The following is a 21,120-nucleotide window of genomic DNA, read 5'->3' as shown; positions in this document are numbered from 1 at the left end:
TGATAGGAGGGAATGGAAGGGAACAGTCTCTTTTCTGTTCTAAGTACTAAGCATGGAACTCTACAGAGGTTACCCACTTACTCCCTAAAACCACCCCATAAGGTAGGTGATGAAACTCCCATTCTCTGAAAAACTGAGTCTCAGAGAGGGGATGTGATGTGTCTAAGCCCACAAATACAGGATTTGCTAGTGTTGGGATTTGAATGCAGGTCCGTGGATGGGTAGGTGGATGGATGGATGGATGGATGGATGGATGGATGGATGGATGGATGGGTGGGTGGATGAATGGGTGGGTGGATGGGTGGGTGGATAGATGGATAGATGGATGGGTGAGTAGATGGGTGGGCAGATGGGTAAATGGATGGATGGGTGGGTGAATGGACGATGGATGAATGGGTGGATGGGTGGGGGGATGGATGGATGGTGGATGAATGGATGGATGGATGGGTGGGTAGATGAATGGGTGGGTGGATGGGTGGGTGGATAGATGGATAGATGGATGGGTGAGTAGATGGGTGGGCAGATGGGTAAATGGATGGATGGGTGGGTGAATGGACGATGGATGAATGGGTGGATGGGTGGGGGGATGGATGGATGGATGGATGGATGGATGGATGGGTGGGTGGATGGATGGACAGACACATAGATGGATGGATACCATTAAGAATTTTTTTTACAAATGACAGAACCCCAACTCAAGTAACTTAAGCTAAGAAGGAAGGAAACAAAGGACTTGACTGGCTTATGTGCCTGAATAGTTAAGGGAAGGTCTTCAGGAACAGCTGGATCAAGGGACTCAAGTGATATCATCAGGACTAAGTCCCTCTTTTCCTCTCTCTGAGTACTGCTTTTCTTTGTGCTGAATTTGTTATCAGGAGGGCTCTCCCTTCGTGATGGCAAGATTCCCCCAGCAACTCAAGGTGAACATTCAGCATTACCAGCAAAAAAAAAAGAACTTCTTGTTCCCAGCCACTCTATCAGAAGTCCCCAGATTTAGTCCCATTAATACTAGTAGGTAACATTTACTGAGCACTTACTCTGTGCTGAGTCCTTTACAGGATTCCATCTGCACAACAGCACTGTGAAATGCATGCTATTATTACATCCCTTGTATAGATGAGGAAGCTAAGGCATGTAGAATTTAAATGTTGGCCAAAAGTCACACAGCCACCACGGGGAGGATCCAGGACCCCAACCCCAGCATCACCTCCAGAGCCTGTGTCCCTTCCTGAGTCAGACACAGAGGCCAGGAGGAGGGATCTTGATTGGAGACAGGTGGAGTTGGTCACCCACAAGGCTCACGGCCTGAGAGTGGGAGAGGGGTGTCCCTGTGGAAATGAAAAGTGGGGACAGATGCTGGGGGTGAACATGGCCACGTCCCTACAGAAGGGCTTCTGCTGTTCCCCAAGACAGCCCTGGGGAGGTTATTTTAGATTTCCCTGGGTGGAGAGGGGGCATTGGAGTGTTAGTCTCTCTCTCACCAGACCCCATGCCCTGCACCTCCCCTGCTCTCTGAGGTGTTGCCCTTAGGCAGGGCTGTCAGGAAGGCTCTCCCTGAGGGCCCAGCCCGGGGCAGACAGCCCATCAGGACGCAGGCTGAAGGGCAGGAATGGGCAGGCCCTCATCCAGGGTGGTAGCCAGGCTCAGAGCAAGCAGGCCCAGGCCTGGGAGAGGACTCAAGGCCAACACTGGAAACTGGGTCAACACAGCAGCAAACCCCAAAGGGCTGCCCTGCCGGGGGCTCAACCAGGCGCCAGGGCCTGCACAAAGGTGGCAAGTGAGCCAGAGGTGGAGCACGCGGGAATGGGCGTGGGAGTGGGAATGTGCATGAGTGTGCGTGTACACGTGGGGAGGCGTGAGGGCATTGGTACACACATATGCTCGTGACAACAGTCAGGACCAATGCAGACTTGGGTCTTCATGTGGGGGTTCTCAGAGGGCCCAACTCTGGACACTGAAGTGGGGTTGGGGAAGAGGAAGAGGGCCCACCCCATGCTGGGTCTGTGTGGAATGCAGGAGGAGGGGCTGGGGCTGGGGAGCGGGAGCATTTCACCCGGAAACCAGGTCAGAGCCCTGCGAGGGACAGGCAGGTCAGGATGACAGTTGACAGCTGCCCGCTGGCCTGGAGTGGCCTCAGTGCCTCTTGTTCTGCACCTGCATGACAGCCCACACCATGCAGTTCAGACTCAGGGCAGCAAATGGCGCAGCAGCCACGTGTCAGAGAGCACGGCCCTTTGACCTCCTGGGGGATGCAAGGCATTAGCTCCAAGACCCTATTTTGAAAAGACTCTGTCTGGGGCCTGGGCAGATCAAGGAGGAAATGTCTTCCCTGCAAGGGCTCAGGGCCCCTGCGCTGCGGCTGCAGGATAACAGAGGCAGCAGTAATGGCGGCCACTTTGGGGGTGGGAGGGTTCTATTTACTAAACCACAACATCTCATTTCCTCCTTTCAACAAGCCTCAGCAATAAGCAGTACCATTACCCCCTTTACAGACAAGAAAGCCAAGGCCCTCTGGGGACACACAGCCAGCAAGAGGCAGAGCTGGAATTAAATGCAGGGCTTAATGACCCAACATACCACTGCACAGCGCAGGGTGACAGCAGTGGGCATCTTGTGTGGAGGGGGGATGGGAGGGAAGCACAGGAGTGTGGCGGGGGAGGTGAAATGACAAGGGAGAGCCTTGCTGACCCCGGCAGTCATTCACCAAGCCCTCTTCCTCCTGCCTCCCACGTCGTGCTCCACTCGACCGTTTCTCTTGGCCTTGGCCACCACCTGAATCTGGGCCCCATCACGGGTGGGATTGGGCATGACAGAGCCTGGCAGCCTGAGTCTCCCATTTGTAAAGAGCCTCCAATTCAGACACGGGCATCTGTTCAAACACGGCTAATATCCAGTCAGTGTCTGTAACACAGGTTTGGCATCTTTCTACACTGCAACGTTCACCGTGTCGAGGGGGCTGGCTTCTCCCGGTCTCTGGGAGACACTGTTGGGACCGCCCTGGTGTCCATGGACCACTGCAGTGGTCCCCAGCCTGTCTCCTGGCCTCCTCTCCCCCTCCCTCTCCCCTCTCCACCCAGAGCCCAAGGGCTCTTTCCAAAACATGGATCAAGTCACATTGTTCTGCTTAAATCTTTCCAGCGACTGCCCAATCTATAGAATCAAATCCCAGAGCCAAACACAGAGTTCCTGCCTACGGGCATGACCCAGCCTCTATCCCAGCCCTTCTACCTCAGCCTGGACCATTCTGCCTCCCTGTCCTCCCCAACCCCCTTTTCCCTGGCTCAGTCCTCTTCATCCTCAGGAATCTACTCTGGAGCGTCACCCCAAGCTGAGGTTAGAGCCCCTGCACCAGTCTTGTGAGTGAAATGAAAAAAAAAAAACCAATATGTGACAATCTGATTCCTGTCCACCCCTCCCAAAGACCATGCAATGCCTGAAAGTAGGGCATGTCTGCAGGGGTCCTGCTAAATCCCAGAACCTGGCACCAAAAAGATGCTGGGCTTCACCCATCCTGATGCACATGTGGCCATAAAGGCCCAACATGGCTTGTGACTCACTCAAGGCCACATAGCAGTGCAGAGCAGAACGGGGCTTGGCCCCAGGCCCCTGCTGCCCCACCCCTGCCATAGTGCCATCCATAGGGACCTGCTAACTCAGTAAGGAATGCAGGCATGACAGGAAGTCCTCCCTGCCCAGCATACCCCTCTGTGGCCCGGTATCACTGGGCTCCAGTTCCTCAGTCTCCAGCCACCCACTGCCCTGACACCTGCCCCACCAGCCGCCTCCGGGTTTTCTCATCAGCTGAATGCAGCTCCTTCTCTTCATTGTCATGATCATAGGAGGCTTGCTGTTTATCTCTATGCCTTTTTGTCTTAGAGGCTGGGAGCAGGAAGGAGAAAGCTCAGGCTGGAGGAAGGGCCCCAAATCAATCTGTCTCTGAGTGGTTTTAATAAGAGCTGGGAGCAGCCCAGCTTCATCGAGTGATGAATGATCACTGGCTCCCTGGATGCGTTGATGTCCCAGAGCTAGAAGACAGGGGACTCAGCGGGGAAGGAAGAGCCAGGAGCATCAGAACAAAGACTCCACGGAGAGGAAGGATGGGTGGGAAAGTCAGGATTGAGCTGCCCTCTGCTCTTAACCTGACCCTGGATAATATGACTGTGCAGGGCTATAGCTCTGCGGCTGGACAGAGCTGGATGCCAAATCTGCATCTCCCTCCTTCTTGCTGGACACTTTGCATATACCATCTGCTATGGTCCGAAGGTTTGTGTCCCTCCAAAATCCACAGTCAAAACCCAACTCTCAAGGTGATGGTATTAGAAGGTGGGGCCTTTGGGAGGTGATGGGACATGGGAGAGAAGCCCTCATGGATGGGATGAATGCCCTCATACAAGAGCCCTAAGGGAGGTTCCTAGCCCTTTGCCCTTTCACCATGTGAGGCTATAGCAACAGGACACCATCTATGAAGCAGAGAGCCCTCACCAGACACCAAGTCTTCTAGCACCTTGATCTTGGACTTCCCAGCCTCCAGAACTGTGAGCAATGAATTTCTGTTGTTTTTAAATTACCCAGTCTAAGGTATTTTTTTACAGCAGTCCAAATGGACTAAGGCACCATGTCTTAATCCACACTGCAGCCATCCACGGAAGAGATGTCTCTCTATTTTATACAGGAAGGTTCAGAGAGGTTAGGCACCTTGCCCAAACCACACAGCCAATAAAAGTGAAAATTGCAAACATGTATTCACTGACTTGACAAATGATTTCTGAGTGCCTACTTGTGCCGGACACAGCTAACCACTTTAGAGGATGACTTCATCGAAGAAATCACTTCTCAAAGCATTCAGCCTCTTTCCCTCTTTGCTTTCCCATTAAAGATTCCCCGTCCCCAAGGCATCTGCGGCCACGCAGACGCATTAGTCTGGGAAGATTCAAATTGGGTGAATCTGATGTTGGTTTATTTAGACCCAGAAGACTGTTTACAAGAGGTGGTTCGGCAAATGGGACAGAGGCCTGGTGTTCCTGGCTCCCTTCTTATCTTCCTGCCTCAGTGCCGACAGAGGAGGAAGGCCTGGGCAGCCCGCCTGGACCCTGAACTGTGCCGCAAAAGGCCCCCCGTCAATTTCCACTCTCGGTTGCCCTACCCTCCTTCAGTTTCCCCTCTCTGTTCCCTCCTCAGGGAAGTCATTCGCAGGAATGTGTCCTCTCTGTGTCCTTTATTTGGGATCTTGTGAGGGTCAAATTTGGGGGCTTAGGACACGATCCTCTAGTTTGTCACTGGAGCCTGCAGGCTCCTCACAGCCCCTGTCATACAGATGAGGAAATGCAGCTTAAGTAGCTTTGCTGAGACTCCTGAATCCACTTGTTTGACCCCACTTTTTGCCTGATGGAGAACAGAGCCAGAATTTAAATTGCAAGGAGCCTGGAAGAGTCAGCTTCCCCTGCATCCTCCCGGGGGCCTGAGAGCACTGGGCCTTCTTATGGCTGCCATTCATTCATGAACACTTCATAGCTTTGTTCTTCCTCCCCCTTTCGCAGAGGGCCCCAAACTCCTTTACAGCCCACAAAACCTTTCATGTCTGATCCCTTCCAACTTCACCGTTTCCCCTTTCTCGCGACTCTCCTGCGTTCTCCTCTCTCACCTCCCACCTTAGCCCTGCAACCCCACATTCATTCCCTGCATTCTCTGCTTCAACTACATAAAATGTGCCATTCCTCAAAACTGCCATGTCCTCCCTCTCCTCTGGGCCCTCACATAAGCTATTCCTTCGGCCACATCACTGTTTCTCCTCTGCCTGGCTCATTGCTACACCAGCCTTAGGCTTCAGCTTCAGTGAGGCTCCTTCTGGGAAGCCTTGTTTATTCCCACCCAACATCCAAATGTAGTTGCTCATTTTTACTGACAACTCTTTATTGAGAACCTATTCAGTGCCAGGTGCAATGGGCTCCACCATACATCAGCCAGCTAAGCCTGCTCTCGGGAGCATCTGTGTTGAGGGACTCCTGCCCTGTGCTTCCAACTCCACTTCATACTCATTGCTTCTCTAAGCATCTGTCTTCTCAAAGGGACCGAAATAGTTGTGAATCCTACATCTGGTAAGGATTTAGTATCCTGAATATGTAAAGAACGCCTGCACCTCAACAACCAAAGACAAACAACCTGTGTTAGAGTCCTCCAGAGAAACAGAATAGGCTGTGTGTGTGTGTGTGTGTGTGCATTTGTGTGTGTGGGCGCACAGGTTGAGTATCCCTTATCCAAAATGCTTGGGAGCAGAAATATTTTGGATTGTGAAGTATTTGCGTTACACTTTCTGTCTGAGCACTCCAAATCCAAAAATTCAAAATTCAAACTGCTCCAAAGAGCACTTCCTTTGAGCATTACAATGACTCTCAAAAATTTTCAGATTTTGGAGCATTTTGGATTTCGGATTTTCAGATCTGAGATTTCTCAACTTGTATATGTACGTGTGTGTGTGTGTGTGTATACACATGTATATAGTGCATAAAAAGATTTGTGGCCAGGCGCAGTGGCTCACGCCTGTAATCCCAGCACTTTGGGAGGCTGAGGCGAGCGGATCACCTGAGGTCGGGAATTTGAGGCCAGCCTGACCAACATGGAGAAACCCTGTCTCTACTAAAAATACAAAATTAGCTGGGCATGGTGGCACATGCCTGTAATCCCAGCTACTTGGGAGGCTGAGGCAGGAGAATCACTTGAACCCAGGAGGCGGAGGTTGCAGTGAGCTGAGACCACACCATTGCATTCCAGCCTGGGCAACAAGAGCAAAATTCCATCTATTAAAAAAAAAAAAAAAAGATTTGTTGTAAGGAACTGGCTTACACAATTAGGGAGATGAACAAGCCCCAGCATCTGCAGGATGAATCGGCAAGCTGGAGGCCCAGGAGAGCTGATGGTATAGCTTCTGAGTCCAGAGGCAGGAAAAAAGCCAATGCCCCAGGCTGAAGGCAGTGAAAGAAATTTTCTTTTCCTTGGAGGAGGGTCAGCCTTTTTGTTCCATTCAGGCCTTGAACTAATTGGACGAGTCTCGCCCACATTAAGGAGGGCAATCACTTTATTCAGTTATTTTAAATATGAACTCATCCCCAAACACCCTCACAGAATCACCTGGGAGAATGTCTCATCAAACATCTGGGCACCCTGTGGCCCAGTCAAATTGACACATAAAACTAACCATCATGCAACCCAATTAAAAAGTGGGCAAAGGACTTGAAGAGACATTTCTCCAAAGATGATATACAAATGGCCACCAGGCATATGAGAAGATGCTCAGCACCATTTGTAATTAAGGAGATGCACAGCAAAATCACAATGAGGTGCCTGTACACCCTCCACGGTGGCTGTCATCCAAAAAAATGAAAATAAGAAGCATTGGCAAGGATGCTGAGAAATTGGTACCCGCATATATTGCTGGTGACAGCATAAAGTGGTGCAGTCACTGTGAAAAACAGTTTGGCCATTCCTTAAAAAGTTAAAAGGCTGGGTGCAGTGGCTCACGCCTGTAATCCCAGCACTTTGGGAGGCCAAGGCGGGCAGATCACGAGGTCAGGAGATCGAGACCATCCTGGCTAACACGGTGAAACTCCATCTCTACTAAAAATACAAAAAATTAGCGGGGCGTGGTGGCACACACCTCTAGTCCCAGCTACTCAGGAGACTGAAGCAGGAGAATCACTCGAACCCGGGAGGTGGAGGTTGCAATGAGCTGAGATCACGCCACTGCACTCCAGCCTGGGTGACAGAGCGAGACTGTGTCTCAAAAAAAAAAAAAAAAAATTTAGGACACAAGTTTATGGGACATGAGTTTCTATATGTTCCAGAAATTCCATTCCTAGGTGTATATCCAAGAGAAATGAAAACACATACACACAAAGACTTAGATACAAATATTTTTGGTTTGTTTTTGTCTTTTGAGACAGAGTCTTGCTCTGTCACCCATGCTGGAGTGCAGTGGTGCGATCTCAGCTCACTGCAACCTCTGCCTCCCGGGTTCAAGTGATTCTCCTGCCTCAGCCTCCCGAGCAGCTGGGTTTACAGGCGTGCACCACCACGCCCAGCTGATTTTTGTATTTTTAGTAGAGACGGGGTTTCATGATGTTAGCCAGGCTGGTCTCGAACTCCTGACTTCAGGTGATCCGCCAGCCTTGGCCTCCCAAATCGCTGGGATTACAGACATGAGCCACTGGGCCTGGGCTTGTACACAAATATTTATAGCAAGTATTATTCATAATAGCCAAAAGGTGAAAGCAACCCACACGTCCATCAATGGATGAATGGATAGTCAAAATGTGACATACCGTACAATGGAATATTTTTAACCATAAAAAAGAATAAAGCATTGATACGTGCTACAACTTAGGTAAACCTTGAAAACATTATGCTACCTGAAAGAAGCCAGTCACAAAAGATGACATATTAGATGATTCCTTTTATATGAAATACCCAGGGCCGGGCACGGTGGCTCACACCTGTAATCCCAGCACTTTGGGAGGCTGAGGCGGGCAGATCACTTGAGGCCAGGAGTTCGAGACCAGCCTGGCCAACATGATGAAACCCGTCTCTACTAAAAATACAAAAATTAGCTGGGCGTGGTGGCTCATGCCTGTAGTCCCAGCTACTAGGGAGGCTGAGGCAGGAGAATCACTTGAACCCGGGAGGTGGAGGTTGCAGTGAGCTGAGATTGTGCCATTGCACTCCAGCTGCTGACAGAGTGAGACTTTGTCTTCAAAAAAATAAAATAAAATAAGTAAATAAATACATATATGAAATATCCTGAATGGGTTAGTCCGTAGAGAGAGAAGACACATTAGTGGTTTCCAGGAGATGGGGAAGCAGAGAAAGGGGAGTGATTACTTAATAGGTACAAGGTATTCTGGGGTGGTGACAAGTTTTGAAGCCAGAGGTGGTGGTTACACATGACTGTGAACGTCACTGACTTGTACACTTTAAAATGGTTGGTTGCTTGCCATGTGAATTTCACTGCAATTATCGTTGTCCTCACCCACCTTCCCTGTTTCGTTCTTAGGTTTCCTACGTGCTGGAATCCTTCACCGTTGTAACCCCAGCACTTCATACGCTCCCTGGCACAAAGGGGATGCTTAATACATCTTCGTTGAGTAAATAAACACAGAAAGCAAAAAGGAAAGCAAAGCACCTACAAATGGAGAAAATTAAGCCTTTCTATAATTAGGGGCAGGGAGTGGAGTCTGAAGGGAAACTGGGTTTATTTTGTGTGATTCTGTGGGCACAAAATCAGGAACAACTAGTGGGATTGAGAAGGCAACAGCTCTTGACTAAACCTAAGGAAGCCCTGTCTACCCTTGGAGCCGTAGAGCAGTAAGACCGGCCATTCTGCAAGGCAGTGAGCATCCCGTCATGAGAGGCATGCAAATGGAAATGAGGGAACTTGTTGAAAGAACTCATGCATCAGCAGGAGAGTTCCCCTAGACAACATGTTCCTCCCAACTTGGAGACGCTGTGATCTGAGATGACTTACAGTCATTAAAAACTCATTTAGCCTCCTGCTGGCTCCTTGTTACCTTGTTGAATCAATCATTCACCAGATTATCTACTGAGCACAGGTGTCAACGGATGGATCCAAAGAAAGTGCCACTTCCTAAAGAGGCAGAGAAGTTTCCATGCCGTTGTTCTTATTTTCTGCTTCCTGACCTGACCCAGAGTTCAGAACGCCAGCAGGGTTAAGGCTCTGATGTGCTGATGTCACTGGGTTCAGAGATGAGTTGGCAGTTCACGTCCCTCCTGTGGGCTGCTCTGCCTGAGTGGCTGTCCCTGCAGTGTGCCTGCCACCTCCTGGCTCTGATGCTGTCTCATAGTGGTGGCATCACCACCATCTCCTGCTTCTGATGCTGCTCTGGGCATACCTTAGTGCCCACACCTGGCCCCAGCCTCCCTCAGGGCCAGGCGGCGGCGTGCAGACAGGCGGTGGCGTGCAGACAGGCAGCTGCGGCAATGCAGAAAGGGCAGAGCTTGAGAAACATGATGGGCATCCACAAACATACTATCACGTGTCCTTTAAAATACTGAGGCTCTTCTGTAGTGACCTGGGGACATGCTTATGCTGTGGAGTTTAATTTTTTATAGGTGACATTACATATTATTACCCACTGATCATCACTGTTGCCTACTCACCACTAATTCTCACCTCTTTCTTTCCATCAGAAACCCATTTAGGGGCAGGGCAGCAATGTGCCCTGTGGAAAATACTCCCCTGACCAGGGGACACGGTTTTGGTCTATGGATGTCCACAGGCAGCCCTGGGTGGGGTTTGCACGGAAGCCTCTGGCTTTGGTCTTCCTCCTTTGCCATGTCTAGGATGCAGACTTGGTGCCCAGAGACGGAGCTGTCTTCCTATAACCACAGAAACTAAAGACGTAGCTGAGGACAGCGGCATTAGAAATCCAGGAGAAGCCTGGGTCCCTGATGGCTCTTTAAAGCCCTCCCACTGGCCTGCAAGCTGCCAGCCTAAGGGTGGCTCGTGCCCATAATCCCAGCACTTTGGGAGGCCGAGGTGGGAAGATCACTTGAGCCCAGGAGTTCGAGACCAGCCTGGCCAACATGGTGAAACCCCACCTCTACTAAAAATACAAAAATTAGCCAGGTGTGATGGTGCACACCAGTAATCCCAGCTACTCAGGAGGCTGAGGCAGGAGAATCACTTGAACCCAGGAGGCGGAGGCTGCAGTGAGCCGAGATCATGCCACTGCACCCCAGCCTGGGCGACAGAGCAAGACTCCATTTCAAAAAACAAACAAAAACAACAACAACAAAAAAGAGTGCCTGTGACAGGAGGAAAACAGGCCCCTGTTTGGTTAAGTTGCTGCAGTCTGTACCTGAAACAGACGTAATTCTAACTAATGCTGTAGAAATCAAAGAAAATTTACAACACGTAGTGTAGTGGGTTGAATAGCACTCCCCACAAGCTAGGTCCTCCAGAGCCTCGGATTGTGCCCTTATTCAGAATAAGGGTCTTTGAAGATGTAATTAAGGTAAGGATCACGAGATGAGATCCTCCTTGATAAGGGTGGGCCATAAATCCAATGACAGGTGTCCTTAAAAGAGACAGAAAAGGAGAAGACGGGCAGAGGCCCAGGGAAGAAAGCCCAGTGAAGGCAGAGGTGAAGACGGAGGCTGGGGTGATGCTGCCACAGCCAGGGACCAGCAGCCGGAAGAGGCAAGGAGAGAGTGTTCCCAGAGTCTTCACAGGGGGACTGCTGACACCTGGATCTCAGACTGCTGGCCTCCAGAAACATGGAAGAATAAATCTCTGTCCTTTTAAGTCACCTAGTTTATAGTCACTTGTTACAACAGCCCTGAGGAACCAATACAGGCAGAAAAAGGTGCCATACAGGGTGCGTTGGCGTCCACCTGTAGTCTCAGCTCCTCCAGAGGCAGAGGTGGGAGGATTGCATGAGCCCAGGAGTTTGAGTCCAGCCTGGGCAACGTTGAGAGATCCCGTGTCTCTAAAAAAATAAAACATTAAAAGGTACCATAGAAGATGTGGCATCTAAGTTGGGCATTTGAAAGACAGACCGTTCTCACGTTAAGAAAGAAAAGGGCCAGCTGGGCGCAGTGACTCACACCTGTAATCCCAGCACTTTGGGAGGCTGAGGCAGGCAGATCACCTGAGGTCGGAAGTTCGAGACCAGCCTGGCCAACATGGTGAAACCCTGTCTCTACTAAAAATACAAAAATTAGCCGGGCATGGTGGCATGCACCTGTAATCCCAGCTACTCGGGAGGCTGAGACAGGAGAATCACTTGAACCTGGGAGGCGGAGGTTGTGGTAAGCCGAGATCACACCATTGCACTCCAGCCTGGGCAACAAGAGCAAAACTCCATCTCAAAAAAAAAAAAAAAGAAACAAACAAAGAAAGAAAACAAAGAAAGAGAAAGAAAAAGAAAGAGAAAGAAAAAAAGAAAGAAAGAAAGAAAGAAAGAAAGAAAGAAAGAAAGAAAGAAAGAAAGAAAGAAAGAAAGAAAGAAAAAAGGAAGGAAGCAAGGAAGGAAGGGCCCTTCCAGACACATGAGTAGCAAACTGTAATAGTAATCGCCTCCTGCCTTGAGCACTTCCTCCGTTGAGTATACTTTCCATCCAAGCCTGGGTGATGGATCTCATATCCCAGATACCGGGGGGCCTGCACCCCCATCCCCCTTGCCCTGAAGACCTAAGCCTCTTGTCCAAGGGCTGTGGGAGCCCACTCAGCCCCTGCACAGGCCGAGGCAGAAGCGCCCGAGAGCAGTGCCCTGTGCAGCCCTCAACCAACACAGAACAGTGAGCTGGATCAGAACACACCAGCTTCCTCCCCTCTGCCAGGATGATCTGAGGTCAGCTCCAGGCAGTCTCCCAGAGCCCGGCAGGCCTGAGCCTCTGTAGACCACAGGTGGTGGTGGTGGGCTCATTAGTTCCCCCTTCTGCCTTCCTCCTTCTCCCTCTCTCACTTGTCCACTCCCCTGGAGGTGCTTTGGGAATCACTTTACAATAAACCACTTGTACTCTAGTCCTTGCTGTGGATTGGCTCCTGGGGAAGCCCCACCAAGCCAGTGTTGGAGTTGGGGATTGTATGTGGTTTATCTAATCCTGGAGCCCGAGCTAAACTGGTCTATCCTGTGGGGTTATTTGCACCACAGTCCCGATGCGTGTCCAGTATTCAGGAACACAAACTAGAAAGCAGCCAGCTCTCCACAGCCCAGAGCAAATGTGGCAGGGAAGCAGTCGCTGCAGGACCAGTCCCTTGAACATCGTGCTGTGGAAACAGAGTGTGCTCTGATGCTCTCTGTATTCACCAGAGAGCCTGCGGGGCCGCCTGGGATGCACTCCAGCAAGAAGCCTGCGCCCTGCTCTTACCACCCCAGCTTCTCCAGGTCTTGGGCCACTTGTCACCCTCTCCTGTAGCGCTCACATCTGTTAACTCTCGAGGGGCGAAGAGAGGGCAATGGGCAGAGTGTTTCAGAGACAATTCTGGGATGCCTGCAAAGCTCACTGGGTGAGCCAGCGCCAGATGAGAAATTGCTATGCTCCGGCAGTTTTGCAAAATTCAAAGCTTTTTGCTGGAGCAGAGGGTCAGTTCTTGGAAGGTTTCTTGCATAATCATCCAAAACGTCACCTTGTCAGCATCACCAGAGAGACCATGTCGGATGATCTGGGGCCAGCCCTTTCTCTGCATTTGGAAAGATCTTCAAGAATGTGAATCACAGAGGAAGCGAGGCCCAACTTTATTGCCATCAAAAGGAAATTGCCTACACTTCATGGGCTTCTTGCAAAGAAAGCTTCCAGTCCCTGGTAGAGAAAAGAGTGCATTTATTTATTCATCCACTCCTCTATTTATTTAACAACTGTGTGCCCTAAAGTAGTAATAACCGGGGGCATTCACCCAGTGTTTACTCTTCGGCTGGGCCAAGTGGTTTCCATGTAAGAATCCCATGTAACCCTCACAGCTCTCAGAGGTAGGTCTCATCATCAGCCCCACTTTACAGATAAGGAAACAGAGGCTCAGAGAAGTTCACGAGCTCTCCCAAGATCACCCAGCCAGTAAGCCAGGGGGTTCAGGTTTGGAGAGAGAAGATTTCAATTCTCGTCTCAGTCCTTCTTCTTATTAGCTATTTCGTGTCCACGTGTCATTTGATGCATTTAGCTGAGCCTCAGTTTCCTCCTCTGGAAAATGGACGGAGCCCAGGTAAGAGTTACCAGACCAGGTGAAGTCCAGCAGTCGGGGAGTATATTACACAATTCAGAGCCCACTCTCCAGCTCGGCATATCCCAAAACTGTGTTTTCCCAACAAAGATTAAGTCGGTAGGATGTTCAAAATCTTTCCCAGCAAGCCAGATGGGGATACTGAGAGTAGGCCACAGACATGTTTTTTGCTCAGACTTTAAACTCAGATCTGTTGGCTTAAATGTCTGCCCTCCTGTCCCTCTACCGGGTGCTCGCATCACTGGGCACACCACCCTCGGGTGGGAGAAGTTGAAAGGGTCTGGGTTGCTTTGCATCTCATCAGCTTCCTCTTTGACAGTGGGATGCCTCCTGCCAAAACAATCACGCCTGTTTACAGCTCTAAGAGGCTCGGGAGGCAGCCTGGAGTCCTGCCCCACTGGCCCAGTCGGATAATGCTCTTCTCTCAGCCAGCCTGCGTTTCCCCTGCAGTTCCATTGGAGAAAGGCCCCCCAGCTTTATAGCCTGAACATCTAACGGATATTTTCACAACCCGTTAGGCGGCTTCTGAATTTCAGCTCCCAGATGCCGCATATGGGTGCTGACGACTTGTGCCAAAAATATTTGGAGGAGAGGATGAGGGAACCAACCTCTGAACGGAGCTGATCATGGTAACAGTGACAGCCGTTACCTTTGTCCAGCATTTCACAGTTTGCAAAGCACGCTTAGGCACTACGTGGTGTCAGTTTTGACCCTCGTGGTAACTCTTTAAAGAAGAGGGAGGTTACAGGTATTATTGTCCCAAGCCCAGCCATATCAAGTGGACTGCTGTCTGTCAAGTGACAGAGAAAGTGCTCACCAGGAAGCCCCTGGAGGGAAGGAAGGGTCAGGATGAGCCCTAGGGGAGTCACTTCAGGAGCAGGGAGCAGAGAAGGCTCCAAGGTATGGGAGAAAGCCCAGTGGAGGGGGAAGCTGCAGGAAGAGAAGCAGGAGAAGAGGGGTCTCCAAGCAAGGCAGAGGAATGCCGGGAGGAAGGAGAGGCAGTGCCACCTCTGCAGAGATGCTCCATTGGAGATAGTGTGGCCAGTGGCTAAGAAGGTGGGTTCATGGCTAGTATATTGCTAAACGTCCCTGTGCTTCAGTTTCCTCATCTGTAGAATGGGCATAATGATAGTCCCCAATTCATGCAGTTACTATGAGGCTTAAGTGCTTATTCCAGGCCTAGCACATAGTAAGCGCAAAGTGTCCCCTATCCTAAACCCTGGCATTGGACTTGACCACCCAGCCATGAGTGATTTTCCTTTTTTTTTTTTGAGACAGAGTCTCACCGTCACCCAGGCAGGAGTGCAGTGGCGCAATCTCAGCTCACTGCAACCTCCACCTCCTGGGGTCAAGCGATTCTCCTGCCTCAGCCTCCCGAGTAGCTGGGATTACAGGCATGCACCACCATGCCCGGTTGATTTTTGTATTTTTAGTGGAGATAGGGTTTCACCATGTTGCCCAAGGCTGGTCTCGAACTCCTGACCTCAAGTGATCTGCCTATCTCGGCCTCCCAAAGTGCTGGGATTACAGGCGTGAGCCACCGCGCCTGGCCATGAGTAACCTTTGACACAGGTTTGGGGTAAGATGGTTTGTGGCATATCATGGAATAAGTGGAGGTGAGGGAATGAAAGAGGGCCTGGAAAGTCCTTGGAGGAGCCATACTTTCAAGGATGAAATGCAGGAATAAGGGATGGTCTCCCTTGGAGATGTGGGAAAGGCTCGAGCTTGTGTGGGCAGCAGGGGTGGCAGAGGGCAGCAGACGCAGAAGGCTCAGAGGGGATAACAGTCAGGGCACTGGCTGGAGAGGATATCAGGGGCTGCAAATCCTTAATTAGATGGATTGGTTTGGGTAGAACAGCCACCTCTCCTCTCTGAGAGTCCAGGTGTAAATCAGGACATGGGATGCAGGGTTGGAGGTAGGAGGAAGGAGGGGCATTTGAGCTGGGTCTGGACACCTGCCCAGAATAGAATTAGGCAGAGCCCCTTCCCCTAGTCACAGAGATAAGCATCTTTGGGTTAAGACAATGTTTATCAAATGTTTATTGTTTCCTAGAAGGCTTCCTGAATTTGACTCCTAGCTCAGCTACTGTGTGACCTCTGACAAGCTACTTAATCTCTTTGTACCTCAGTTTCCTCACTTGTAAAATAGGGATCTTGAGATCATGATGCTACCTGCCTGTCCAGATGGTTGTGAGAGTGAGATGACACAATCTAAGGAGAGAGCCTGGCCTGGGTCAGTGACGGCAGGCTGTTAATTTTTTTTCTTTTTTCTTTTCTTTTCTCTTCTTTTCCTTTCTGTTCTTTTTTTCTTGAGATGAAGTCTCGTTCTGTTGCCCAGGCTGGAGTGCAGTGGCGTGATCTCGGCTCACTGCTACCTCCACCTCCCGGGTTCAAGCAGTTCTCCTGTCTCAGCCTCCTGAGTAGCTGGGACTACAGGTGTGAGCCACCACACCTGGCAAATTTTTGTACTTTTAGTAGAGATGGGGTTTCACCATGTTGGTCAGGCTGGTCTCGAACTCCTGACCTCAGGTGATCCACCTTCCTCGGCCTCCCAAAGTGCTGGGATTACAGGCGTGAGCCACCACACCCAGCCTGGCTGTTATTATCATGTTATTAACTAGTATCATGAGCGGCTCAGTTTGAGAACCAGTGGGTTAAGACGATGATTCCTACAGAGACCCATACTAAAGTGCAGTCATTTTGACTCATATTTATAGAACTCCTACTATCAACCAGGCACCAGGATATGATGGCTGCCAAGGAGACGTGGTCCTCCCTCAAAGATTTGCACCAGCAGGTAGTAGAGGCTTGCTCTGGCCAGTCATTTAATCCCCACTACAAAACCCCAGGACCAGGGATCTATTCATGCTCCCATTCCACATGGGAGGAAACAGGGACAGAGAGGTGTAGTCAGCTGCCCAAGGTCACACAGCAAGGAAGTGGTGGAGCTGGGATTTGAACCCCAGGGGTCTGTCTGGCTCTAGAGCCTGCAGTGGTGTGCCCCGACAGTAACTACAAGTGGTGGTGACTGCCACTGGTGTCCAGAGTGTGCAGGACATGGAGGGCAAATGATGTTTGAGCTGAGAAAGGCATACAGGAGTTAACTAGATGAGTGAGGGCAGCAGGGCTAAGGCCCTGAGGCAGAACGGGCAAGTCGAATGTGAGGATGCAGAGAGCCAGCTGCTGGGCAGATGAAAACTGCCAGGGAGGAGGCACTGCCCACTCACCAGTCCTGACAGCTCCGTGGGAAAGGTGGACTTTCCCCCAAGCACAGTGGGAAGCCTTTGGGGGACTTTCAGTGGAAATGCGGTGATATTTAGAAGTATCACTTTTTACAGCTGAACGGGACTCAGCCACACAAAAGACCGAGCGCACTTTGAGTACAGACATGGGGCCACTCCAAAGTACATTAGATGGAAGAGCGGGTGCTGGCTTCTATTTGCAGAGGGAAGAAGGAGAGAAAGAATGAGAATGTGTATGTGGCCAGGCACGGTGGCTCACGCCTGTAATCCCACCACTTTGGGAGGCCGAGGCTGGCGGATCACCTGAAGTCAGGAGATCGAGACCATTCTGGCTAACACGGTGAAACCCCGTTTCTACTAAAAATACAAAAGATTAGCCACGCGTGGTGACGGGCGCCTGTAGTCCCAGCTACTCGGCAGGCTGAGGCAGGGGAATGGCTTGAACCCTGGAGACGGAGATTGCAGCAAGCCGAAATTGCGCCATTGCACTCCAGCCTGGGAAACAGCAAGACTCTGTCCCAAGGAAAAAAAAAAAAAAGAATGTGTATGTGCTTTTGTGCTGGGATATATGTAAAATCTCTCCGAAAGGGTACATAAGCAACTGTCAGGGGCGGGACGGAGGGGACGTTCTCTGTAGATTTTCTCTTTTAAATGTTGAATCTTGGGGTGAGATTACCTATCCGAAATTAAGATTTGTAAAGGACGATGCTGGCCGCTGGGTGGAAAATGGAACCCAGGATGTCTACGGCGTATTCCAAGGTATGATGCGAGAATGAAACTGGGCTATTAAGTTTCCAAGTGCATGAGGTGAGGAATCAACTAAGATGGGCCCTGAGTGTGGTGGGTGCAGCTGCCGGGGGAGGGCTGTTCTGGGAAGGGCACTGTGTCGCGCAGCTGCAGGGTGTTATATGGAGTGGGGGCCGGGGAAGGGAAAAAAGGGTAGAGTGTCAGGGACCCACTCAACTTTGCCTCTAGCAGAATTTGACATAGCTTCAGCCTGGGGCACCCAGAATTCCTTGGCCCTCCTTGAACACAACCACCCAGGCTTTATGCGTGGAGTGTGGAAAGGGGGCAGTGAGGGAAGGCGGCAGGTGCGAGAAGAACTCTCCAGCAGGACTCAGGAGCCCTTGGCTCTGGGATGTAAATCAAAGCACCGCGCCTCAAAGAGAGGCGCCCAGGTGATGTCTCAGCCTCTCATTCTCAGTTGGCGAGCAAACGGACAGAGATGCACTAATGTGGAACGTTCTGGAAAAGCGGCTCTTGGCTTCTGCAGATGGAGTATCTCGGGCTGTTAAAGGGGGCCTCCGGGTGGCTCTGGAGGGATGATTTGCTCAACTTTAAATAAAGGCGGCAGCAAATAAGTCAAAAGGCGGCAGCCCTTCTGCCCTCCTGCAGCAGACAATTTCCCGGCTGCTGCTGCCCCCTGCTGACAGAATCAGGACATCGCGGCCTCCGTGCCCCGCCGAGGCCACAGCTCAGGCCTCCACTTTGCATTCCGGGCGCACAGAAGGTGAGTCAGTTCCATTTCCTCTGCCCTTTATTGAGATGGCCACCGCCAAGTACTGCATCAGCGGAGACATAAACAACCGGGCCCACGTGAACAGTGGAAAAAAGAACAGCAAAGGTCATTACCGAGAGAAGGCAGTGCACCAGATGTGACAGTGCGTTATAGGAAATTGTAAAACAGAACTGTACCACCGCATTATAAATCCTCCTCCAGGGACTCATGGCCACCCCAGTGGCTGTTCATCAGAACTGGTGCTCACTGAGTCTTACCACGTGTCAGGCGTGCTGGGGACCCCTTGCATGTGGCCACTCTTCTGAGCCTCAAAGCGCCTACTGGAGCAGGTGGGAGGAGACTGAGACACAGAGGAGAGGTGGCAAGACAAAGATTCAAGCCCAGGAAGCCCGAGGCCCAAGGCCTTGTAGATTGCAAGTGCAAAATCAATATCCTTTATTCAGTGGGTTCATACATCTAAATCAGTGCTTCTCATCCGTGGAAGATTTTGCCCCCCAGGGGACATTTGGCAATGTCCAGGGACATTTTTGGTGGTCTCAGCAAGGGAGCTTGCTCTGGCATCTAGTGGGCAGAGGACAGAGATGCTGTCTATATTGCTCAGGACAGCCCCCATAACTAAGAACCCTTCACCCCCAAATGTCAATAGTGCCGAGGTAGGGAAACCCTGATCTAAATACATAAAATTTCTACAAATCTATTAGCACTCTCTTTTTGGCATTGCCTCTGACATGAGGGCATTTGAGCAAATCTGCTTTAATGTATGAAAGATATTCTTCTTGAGAATTCATGCAGAATCACTCTCAATTATTTAATTTCCCCTAAAATCTCCTATTTACCCAATTGTTGGATTCCATCCAACAATTCTGCTACTACACCCTATAAGTGAAGGGGCTGTGATGGGGCCCAGGCAGAAGGAGAACCCCCTGGCTGTCAAGACACAGTGGCAAAGGGGCTTGGGCCCTGCATTGGGGATGATCAGCCCTGGCGCTGTGCGTGGAATGTTGCTGCTGTCCCTGGCAGGGAGCCGTGGCTCATCCGCATGCTGCTCTTCAGGGATGTCGGGACGTGTTCAACCCCAGGATGATTGAACAATTTCTGGGAACAACTTGTCAGCAGCTGCCCCTCCACTCCCCTCTTATCCAAAGCCCCAGTAATCAGCCCCAACAGTCTAGTCCCTGGCTTTGGGAAGCAGCACTGTTAATACTTCCTCTTCCACAGAGCATATGGGTGTAGCTAGGGGTGCAGGCTAGGGGTGGGAGAGGACCCAGGATGAGGTTACCCCATCTGAATGGTCATTGCACATCTCTCAGTAGTAAGCCCATTGCTTGCCCAAAAACTGATATTCAAGAGTTGGTGCTTGTTGAATGAATGAATACACAACCGGAAGGGTAAACCCTATGAGAGTCATTCATTCATTCAGAAGTATTTACGGGGTGCCTCACCATGCAGGGGACTGTCCTAGATACTGGGTGAACAAAAGAGACCAAGTGTCAGTTCTCATGAAGCTTACCTTCTAGTGGAGGGCGACAGATACCATATAAATAAACTAATAAATATGGAATATAGGTGGCCCTCTGCATCCACGGGTTCCACATCTCTGGATTCAACTAACTGCACATTGCAAAAATAAAAAAATAACAATACAACAATAAAAATAATACAGATAAAATACAGTATACCAATATTTCTATAGCATTTCCATTGTATTAGTTATTGAAAGTAATCTAGAGGTGACTTAAAGTATACAGGAGGACGTGTGTAGGTTTTGTGCAAATATTACAACATTTTATATAGGGGACTTGAGTAGCCCTGGATTTTGATATCCATGGTTACCAATCCCCCACGGATACAGAGGGACAGACTGTGTAATCTCTGGTAGTAGTGAACGCTATGAAGAAAGTAAAGTAAGTCAAGGATATTGAGACTGACAGATTGGGGGCGATGCTTAAATTGTGTGTTTGGGAGGGCTCCCCGAAGGCATGACGTTTGAGCTGAGATCTGAAGATCATGAAGGAGAGTCATACAGCCTCATTGGGAACAGTGCGTACAAAGGCCCTGCGGTGGGAACGTTCCCGAGGAGCTTGAAAAACAGTAAAATGACCCAATAGAGTAGATAAAGGTGGGTCCTGGCATTAGCTAAGAAAAGCAGTTCTCAACATGAGCTTGTGTCGGAGTCACCAGGAGGCCTTATGGAAGCAGATTGTGGGCTCCACCTCCAGTGTTCAGCTGGTCAGGGGTGGGGCCTGGGAAAATGCATTTCTTACTAATCCCCAGGTGATGCTGGTGTGCCAGTCCAGGGATCAGAGCATAGGGTATTTGTTCTTTCTGCACCACATCCTCCCCTATTCAACATTGACTACATGCAATCATAGATCATTACTGCTTGATCATCTGCCGCTCCACTGGGCTAGATGGTTCTGTCCACCTCTACGTCCTAGTGCTTAGCAAGCACTCAACAGAATATTTGTTGAATTAATTCCTCAAACAAGGGTTCTACTCTGGGTCTTGCCATTCCACCGTGTGTTCCATCTGCTGCCCTCCCAGAGCTCTGAGCCTTTGCATGTGCTGACCCATCCACCCAGCATTTGCCTTCCCCTGTGTCCACCTCGCAAATTCCTACAAGGCTCTCC

The 21,120-nt window shown here is 50.4% G+C and overlaps 1 annotated feature.

Moving 5' to 3' along the window:
* Nucleotides 1,105-2,027: an enhancer, noted in NCBI's record as "H3K4me1 hESC enhancer chr22:37194619-37195541 (GRCh37/hg19 assembly coordinates)". NCBI's record gives its function as "activates a minimal SCP1, AML or CMV promoter by ChIP-STARR-seq in naive H9 embryonic stem cells {active_cell/tissue: H9 hESC(naive)}" and the evidence as "EXISTENCE:reporter gene assay evidence [ECO:0000049][PMID:30033119]".

The sequence above is a fragment of the Homo sapiens genome, chromosome 22 (genome assembly GCF_000001405.40).
Source record: "Homo sapiens chromosome 22, GRCh38.p14 Primary Assembly".
NCBI classification, from domain to species: Eukaryota; Metazoa; Chordata; class Mammalia; order Primates; family Hominidae; genus Homo; species Homo sapiens.
The sequence above is the reverse complement of the archived record's forward strand: the minus strand, read 5'-3'. Positions and strand labels throughout refer to the sequence as shown.